Raw genomic sequence first — 9206 nt, 5'->3', positions numbered from 1 at the left:
CAAAGGACAAAATATAAATGGGATTGGAATATATTCAATTTTGGCAGGAATGCCATCTGGAGCATAAAGCAACAAATGAAATGCAGTTAAATAAACAAATTAAAAAGATTGAGCCCATGGAATAAAAATTTTTTAAATTGTGGAAAATTGGGTGGATACCAATATGATTATATCTAAATTTATTCTAAATGCACATGATATTAGTAGTCTGGGACTAATAAATACTACTATTAATTTATTCATTTAATGTTAAAATGGACAAAAATGTACAGTCTTTATGAACTTAATTTCACTTACGTACAAAATAATACTTTTTAAAATATCTTCAGCATTTCTAATTCAACAAGTTATGGAGGAATAAAGTAAGAATATGACAGGAGAAAATTAAAAAATCATGCTTGATATTCTCTTTAACAGATCTTTCTTTTGGCAATTATCCTGTACTCTAATTGTTTTGGGCAGTGTGTAACATTTATGAAGAAAGAAATAAAGGCACTTTCTACTGATGAAAGCATACAATTGTCTGACAACCATTTATAAGAAGATCATAAGTTTTAGAAATAAAGAGAAAAATTGTTTGATAGGTTTGAAATAAATAATACAAATACAGATGCACTCTGTGGCCGGTTTAAAGATTTACACCTTCATGGAGAAAAAAAGTGTACTACAGCATGCTAAAATCTTGGAGAGTCTCCATGTCTAGCAATAACTCTGCTTTTGTTAAGCATGGGGAAATTCACCAGCATTTCACTTGTCTACATTACTGAAACCAAAAAAAAGAAGCAAAGAAGTCATACCTGTGTAGTTTGGAGGAACATAACAACAATAAAAACCACACCATTCTGAAACCAGGAAAGCAAATCAAATACAATGATCATTTTTCTGTTTACCATCATGGGTCTTCTTACTCTGTTTTTGTTTTAGTTCTCATGGAAAGGGTATTTTATACACTCAAGAACTTCCCTAGAATCTCTTTGATAACAAATAAAATGAACTAAAATAAAAGCTCTAAAAATATATGACTGATTTGGATGTGCTCAGAGAAATCACATCAGGCATTTTCAGACAGATGTGAATAGCTATACCATGTATTCCTCAACGTCATCATTATTTATTTAATCTATTTATATAAAGCTATCTGTTTTTTCTTTTGTTATTATACTTTAAGCTCTGGTGTACATGTGCAGAACCTGCAGTTTTGTTACATAGGTATACACGTAACATGGTGGTTTGCTGCACCCATCAACCCCTCACCTACCTCAGGTATTTCTCCTAATGTTATCCCTCCCTTAGACCCCCACCCCCAGAAAGGCCCCAGTGTGTGATGATCCCCTCCCTATGTCCATGTGTTCTCATTGTTCAACTCTCACTTACGAGTGAGAACATGTGGTGTTCGGTTTTCTGTTCTTGTGATAGTTTGCTGAGAATGATGGTTTCCAGCTTCATCCATGTCCCTGCAAAAGACACAAACTCATCTTTTTATGGCTGCATAGTATTCCATGGAGTATATGTGCCACATTTTCTTTATCCAGTCTATTATTGATGGACATTTGGGTCGGTTCCAAGTCTTTGCTATTGGGAATAGTGCCGCAATAAACATACGTGTGTCTGGGTCTTTATAGTAGTATGATTTATAAACCTTTGGGTATATACTCAGTAATGGGATTGCTGGATCAAATGGTATTTCTAGTTCTAGATCCTTGAGCAATCACCACACTGCCTTCCACAATGGTTGAACTAATTGACACTCCCACCAACAGTGTAAAAGCTTTCCTATTTCTCCACATCCTGTCCAGCATCTTTTGTGTCCTGACTTTTTAATGATCACCATTCTAACAGGCGTGAGATGGTATCTCATTGTGGTTCTGATTTGCATTTCTCTAATGACCAGTGATGATGGGCATTTTTTATATGTCTGTTGGTTGCATAAATATCTTCCTTTGAGAAGTGTCTGTTCATATCCTTTGCCCACTTTTTGATGTGGTGGTTTGTTTTTTTCTTGTAAATTTGTTAAAGCGCTTTGTAAATTCTGGATATTAGCCCTTTGTCAGATGGATAGATTGCAAAAATTTTCCCCCATTCTGTAGGTTGCCTGTTCACTGTGATGATAGTTTATTTTGCTGTGCAGAAGCTCTTTAGTTTAATTAGATCCCTTTTGTCAATTTTGGCTTTTGTTGCCATTGCTTTTGGTGTTTTAGACATGAAGTCTTTGCCCATGCCTACATCTGGAATGATATTGCCCAGGTTTTCTTCTAGGATTTTTATGGTCCTAGGTCTCACATTGAAGTCTTTGATCCATCTTGAGTTGATTTTTGTATAAGATGTAAGGAAGGGGTCCAGTTTCAGTTTTCTGCACATGGCTAGCCAGTTTTCCCAACACCGTTTATTAAATAGGGAATCTTTTCCTCATTGCTTGTGTCAGGTTTGTCAAAGATCAGATGGTTGTAGATGTGTGGCATTATTTCTGAGACCTCTGTTCTGCTCCATTGGTTTATATGTCTGTTTTGGTACCAGTACCATGCTGTTTTGGTTACTGTAGCCTTATAGTGTAGTTTGAAGTCAGGTAGCATGATGCCTCCAGCTTTGTTCTTCTTGCCCAGGATTGTCTTGGCTTTGTGGGCTCTTTTTTGGTTCCATAAGAAGGTTAAAGTAGTTTTTTCCAACTCTGTGAAGAAAGTCATTGGTAGCTTGATGGAGATAGCATTGAATCTATAAATTACTTTGGGAAGTATGGCCATTTTTCTCCCTCTCTTAACCCTCTCTTATTCGTCACATTCAGATATTCATTCAGTAAATCCTTAATCAGTGATGACTGAGTGTCAGATCAGCTCCCAAAAACTGGGGCTACAACAGTAAATAGAATGGCCAAATATCATTGCTTACATAAAAAAGGAGTTTACATTTTAGTGAGGATAAACAAGAAAAAAATATGAAAATATGTAGTAAGTTAGATTGTGTTAGAGGTGTAAGAAGCAAGTCAAGGAGAATAGGGAGTATTGGGGTGGGCAGAAAAGCTTCAGTTTTACCCATTGTAATCAGTGAAGGCCTCAGTTAGAAGGTACAATTTGATTATCACTACAAAACTTAACGACTTAAAGCAACAATTATTGTATTAAGTTCAATTTCTGTAAGTAAGGAATTAGGGAAGGGCTCGGCTGGGCAGTTTTGACTTCAAGTCTCTTACACAGTTGCAATCAGATGGTGGCTAGGTAGGAGCATGTCATCTCACTTCACGTCATCACAGGCTTTTCTATGTGATTTCTGCATCTGCTATTTGGAGATATTTAGAGCATGGCTGTCTCACCATGGCCCACATGGAGGGTCAAGCCTCTAGGGCAAGTATTCCAAGAGAGAAGTAGATGCCACAAAGTCTTTTATTACCTTATCTTGGAAATCATATAGAGTCTCTTTTCCCATGGACACAAACTTATCTAGGTTTAAGAGGAGTGAAGGTAGACCCATATTCTTAATGTGAGGAATCTGAAAGTCCCACTCTGAGAAAAGCATGTGTGATGTTATATGCTGTTGTTGCCATTGTGCAATATATAGTTTGCCACATCTTAGTGACATGGCCTTTCCTCTTTTAAAATACCTGGACTTGAAAAGGAATTTAAAATTTGCATCTTTATTTTCTTATACAAAAGATTATGATAATAACATTTCAACTCCATAGGGTTTTCTTGAGAACTGGCATGTATAAGCAGTTAATAGGTAATAACTATTTTTGGATATTTTACTATGTAACAGAAATTATAAATTCAACATAATTAATGTTTATATATTATATATTAAGTCATATTTATTCTCTACTTATTTGGGTCATGTATTATATATTTAATTATTTGATGGAACATACACTCAGATTAACAGTTATATAGAAATCTTACACACATATTATTTGATCATTTGTGCAACAAATATTTATTGAGCATCTAATTTGTGTCTTATACAATTGTTTCATATCTGAAAAAGTAGTAGTAGTAAAGAATGAAACAGTTCCTGTCATAATATATGATGGAATTTGCATAGTAATAAAGTAGGAATATGTAATTTACTGGGATAAATATCTACTCAAAATTGAACCAAATTTTATTCAAATTTAGAATAGCTTATCTTTCTCTTTCAAATTTCAGAAATTTTGGAATAAATGCTTTATTAAAATATCCCACAATCTATTAAACCAATATACCCCAAAAAGCCACCTCAAATTTATGTCCAGGAGAAACTACATTGGTGAATATTATTGTGTTTCATGTCTGTCTGAAGTCAGACAATCTGTTCTTCCCTTATATATATTTTTTTGTCTCTTTCAACATAACAGAGGTTTAGCTCTACGTATGCTAGAGTTTCCTTTCCTAGCTAGACTCATTTTCCCAGCCTTCTTCACAGATCGATGCAAATGTATTACTAGTTCTAGTCAATGAAATTTGAGAGGAAATAGGCCTTGAAGCAATTTGACATGTGCTCTTGTGTTTTTCCTCTTTCTACTTGCTGAGAGATGAGATGGCAAAAATCGCAGATGCTTTTATGAACCCTCAAACAGGCGCCGTATGTTAAAGAAGAGACACTGATCCGCCATGGAATACCTAAATCTAATAGTAACATCAGAAATAAACCTATATTTTTGCCACTATATTTAGGGAGTCTCTGTTAGAGCAGTAAAGCCATTCAATTAATACCAGATGAACACAAGGGAGAAAGTTTACTTTGTTGCTCCCAAATCCCCAAGGTCTAAGTCTTCAAATTGGAATAACTACAAGAGAATGAGCATTGTGAACAATAAAATATATAATGATAGTGTTAGGTTCTAACTCACAAATAAAATAAGTATTCATGAGTATACATATATAATAAGTATATATCAAAGCCTATCTGATATAAATAAATAAGGAAGGAAAACAGAAGAAATTGGGAAAAGAAGCCAGCCTTCCTTTAGGTAGAATTTTAATTTAAAAATGTAGAAGGAATGATGGAAATAGAAAATCACTATTAACTAACACCACAGCAATAATTATTGCAAGCAAGAACAATCAATGATTGCTAAAATTAGCAGGTAAAACATGATGAGAAAAATGATATTTGCATAGTTTCAAAGTATCTTCTCACAAGATACTAATTTGTATTAAGGGAAAAATAGTAATTACAGTGAAGAAACCTGGCAGGCACCACCTTAATCAAGTGATAAACTCATCAACATCGGTAATAAAGTATACTGACATCATGCACATCCAGATATAATGCACTAAGAAGGGAATAACCTAATTTTATTGACATTCTTGCCCAAACTGCACAACCTCAGTCTAATCATGTGAAATCAGACAAAACCCAAATTGAGAGACAGTTTGCCAAAAGAACTGATTAGTACCCTTCAAAATAGTCTGTCATCAAAGACACACAAAGACTGACAAGCTGTCACAGAGTGAAAAAGACTGAAGATATGTGATAACTAAATGGAAACCCGAGCCAAAAAAAAAGTTTGTTGAGTAGTTAATAGCATTATATTAATGTTACTTTCATAATTTCTGTAACTATACTATGATACGTAATGTGATAAAAATAGGAGATGAGTAAATGGTTATGAGAATGCTACTATTTATTAAATTGTGGGATGTGGGGTAAACCTAAAATTATTTCAAACTAAAAAGTGAAAAAGTAAAAGAAAGACTGTAACTGTGCATGTCAAGTATTCATTAAAACAGCCTCACCATTTCCTCGGATTGACTAAACTTCAGTAAGAATTCTTCTTAGCTTTAGGATCCTAGCCTCTCTATTCTTAGTGCATTTAATTTAGAAAACTTTTCATTGTAAATTCTTGCTCTTCTTCTTTGAGATGTAAATCTCCCAGCCTCCTGCCAGTTTTACAACAGTTTAACAACTTGAGAATGTCTTTCTCAAGGACCTGGTAGCCATGTCTTTGAAATATAATTATAAAAGGAAATAGTGCCTCTGTTTCTCAGTCTCTGTGGGAGGATAGAAGCCTAACTTCCAAAAGGGACAATTAACAAACACAGATGGCCTAATCACATTGACTAATTTTTCCCTAAAGTACTTCAGCACTCTTCATCTAGCTCACATCAGTGCTTTAAAACTCAGCTGGCTTTCTGTTCCATAACTGGGAGCTAAATGATGAGAACACACGGACACATGGAGGGGAATAACACACACTGGGGACTTTCTAAGGGTGGAGGGTGAGAGGAGGGAAAAGATCAGACAAAATAAATAATTAGATACTAGACTTAATAACCGAGTGATGAAATAATCTGTACAACAAAATCATATGAGACAAGTTTACCTGTGTAACAAACCTGCACTTGTACCCCTGAACTTAAAATTAAATAAATAAATAATACGTAACATAAACAAACAAACAAAAACTGTGCTGCCTTTTATTTCAGGGGATTTGTACTGTCCCCCATTGCAATAGTCTTGAATAAAGCCTTCCTTTCCTATTATTGTCAGTGCAATTATCCTTTGATTGTATTGAAAATTACCAATGTCTCATTTTACATAACAATTGTTTCGTAAAAATTTAAGATTTAAAGAAACAAAGTTAATTAACCTGATAAGTAAATCATACGTTGTTTTAAAATTAAAATAGGTGATGAGGCTTTTACTCTATCTAATTTGTTTTTTAGGATTATTGCTGTGGAAGAATAGGCTCCTGGGACTTCTGTATGTTTCAACATTCACAACCCATATATATTTGGATTTTGGAGTCAACCGTTTCAGATAGTCCCCTACACATTGTTGTCAGGAGGAGGAGAAAGAGTATAGACAAATTGAAATCTTGCTCAATCATCGTTATTAACTGAGGAATGTTATTTAATGTTTGTAAACCCAGTTTTATTGATACCTAAGCAGAAAGCATAATGCTTATGTTGTAAAATCATTTGAGAATTAAATTATTTAAGTAAAGTAAAAACTCCACAAGGCCAATTATGTATTAAACATTTCATTTAATGACACTACTCTTCTTTTCTTATTAAAACTATTAGAGGAAAATCAAGAAACTTAGTAAATGCCTTTCAGTAATTGCTACTGCTACTGAAATGGGTTTTTAGAAATGTTTTTATCAGCTAACTTTAGATTACATCTTAATTAATTAGACTTTTTATTAAAATAATAGGAAATACAATAAATTATCATGCAGCTAATGGAATAAATATGGTAAATGGTACTTATTTGTCAACATAAAACAAAATTGTACATTTAATGATTAACCTTTTAGAAAAAATAAAACAGTAGTGAAACAAACAATAGCTTTTCAAGATGCAAAATACTTGTTTCATGATTAGCTATTCTTAAATGAGTGCTTCTTTAATAACTTCCACCACTATGCACTATTTCAATATGAAGCTCTTTCAAAGGTGACTACAGCAGTAGTAACTTATAAACAAATTCGTGACTTGACTTTTTTGTGAGGTAACTGATGTTTCAAGGAATAACATGACTTAAAAGGAGAAAGTACATTATATAGAGCATATTGGTTCCCTTACATGTTTATGGTTGTTGGAAATAAGAAAGATGACATTAAGTGAAATTAATGTGAGCAATAATAGGAATCTACTTGTGTATAGAATTAAATTTTTTTATTTCTAAGTTATCATCATAGAAGTTTTCCTTCAATTATATTTACATAATCATTTTCTTATAGAATTTGTGTCTAATAGAATAATGGTTGCATACAAAAAAGCCATGAGAAAAGTAAATCACCTAATTTCTAAGGCTATATTTCTAAAATGAATTTTCTTTATATAATAAAGCACATAAAATCTAAAAAGTTTATCAGTCGAAGGAATATTTTGTGTGTGTGTGTGTGTGCACGCGTGTGTACTAGTAACACTCATGAGTGTGTGGTCAGATTATTTCCATTCTTGAATATTGGTAAACTTCATTACAAATCTTGCTCAAGTCTGAACGAAGTTCAAATTTTAATATTCTTAGTACAGCAGGGGCAGATAGGAATCTCAAAAATCTTTTCAGGATAACTGGAATGAAAGTAGAATACAAAGAACATAAGTTCTTTGTAAAAGAACGGAGTTCAGATTGAATCAGGGAAGAATGGTTTCTACAGCTTTCTGGTCCATTCCCCATGACATCCCAGGGGAAAAAAAGCATGTAGATAGCCCTGTAATGGTCCTTCACTTTCTAATTTTCAGCTTAGCTCTTGGTAATGAATACCAGCTCTATTCCAGAGTGTCTTTCTTTACCCCTTGATCTCTCCGTTGTTTAAATGATGAGAAAATATAATTTTATCCCATCAATTTACAATTGTAACCCACTTCTTCTCATTTTCACATGAAAGCCCTCATCTTCTTCCAGATAAATGACCCCAGAAATTATAAAGATCCATCTATATAGTTGAATGGCATAGAATTATACTAAAACAGCATTAAAATTATGCAATACTATAACAAAATTGGTATGCCTAGAGCAATGTTGGGGGAGGCAGGGATTCCTTCCCATTGTTTCTACCATTTCACTAATATAAAAACATTCTGTGCTCCTATGTTTATTATTGGTAATATATTGTATAGATTTAATGAAATATCATATTTGAGTATTATCTATGAAAATGAAATAAGATTATTTGCTAGCCACTTATTAAAGAGTTAGTATTTGCCCTGTAAAATGATAAACATTTTAATGCAATGTCAACTTACAGATCTATCAGTGGTGTCCAATAAAACTCTCTGTGATGATGGCGTGTTCTATATCTGCACTGTCCAATATGGAGCTGTTAACCACATGTGAATATTAAGCACCAGAAATTTGGATAGTGCAATTGAGAACCTTAATCTTTTATTTAAATTTAATAAAATTTAAATAGCCACTTAGGGTTAGGTGCTATAGTCTTATACACTATAGGCAAGATTATCTTATGGGGTTCAATTATAATTCTCATTCTGAAACTCTTTCACAGTTTTACATCTGTTTTTCTACCTTTAAAAAACATTCTGTTTGCTAACTGCAGAACAAAATAACTTGTCCGTAGAGGTTCAGCTAAGCAGATAATTATAAGTGAACAGTCAGACCAATTGTTTATTTTACCAATATGAGGATAGAAAATAAATTATACATTTTTATATCCGGGGCTATTTATTTAAAGAAAGGCTAAGTGACCTACTTTTGATTTGCATATTGGGATGGGTGAACTTCCACATAATTGTTTTACTAGAACTTTTTACATGATAGTTCATAACATA

Source organism: Homo sapiens, chromosome 1 (assembly GCF_000001405.40).
Source record: "Homo sapiens chromosome 1, GRCh38.p14 Primary Assembly".
NCBI classification, from domain to species: domain Eukaryota; kingdom Metazoa; phylum Chordata; class Mammalia; order Primates; family Hominidae; genus Homo; species Homo sapiens.
Note: the sequence above shows the minus strand (reverse complement) of the source record.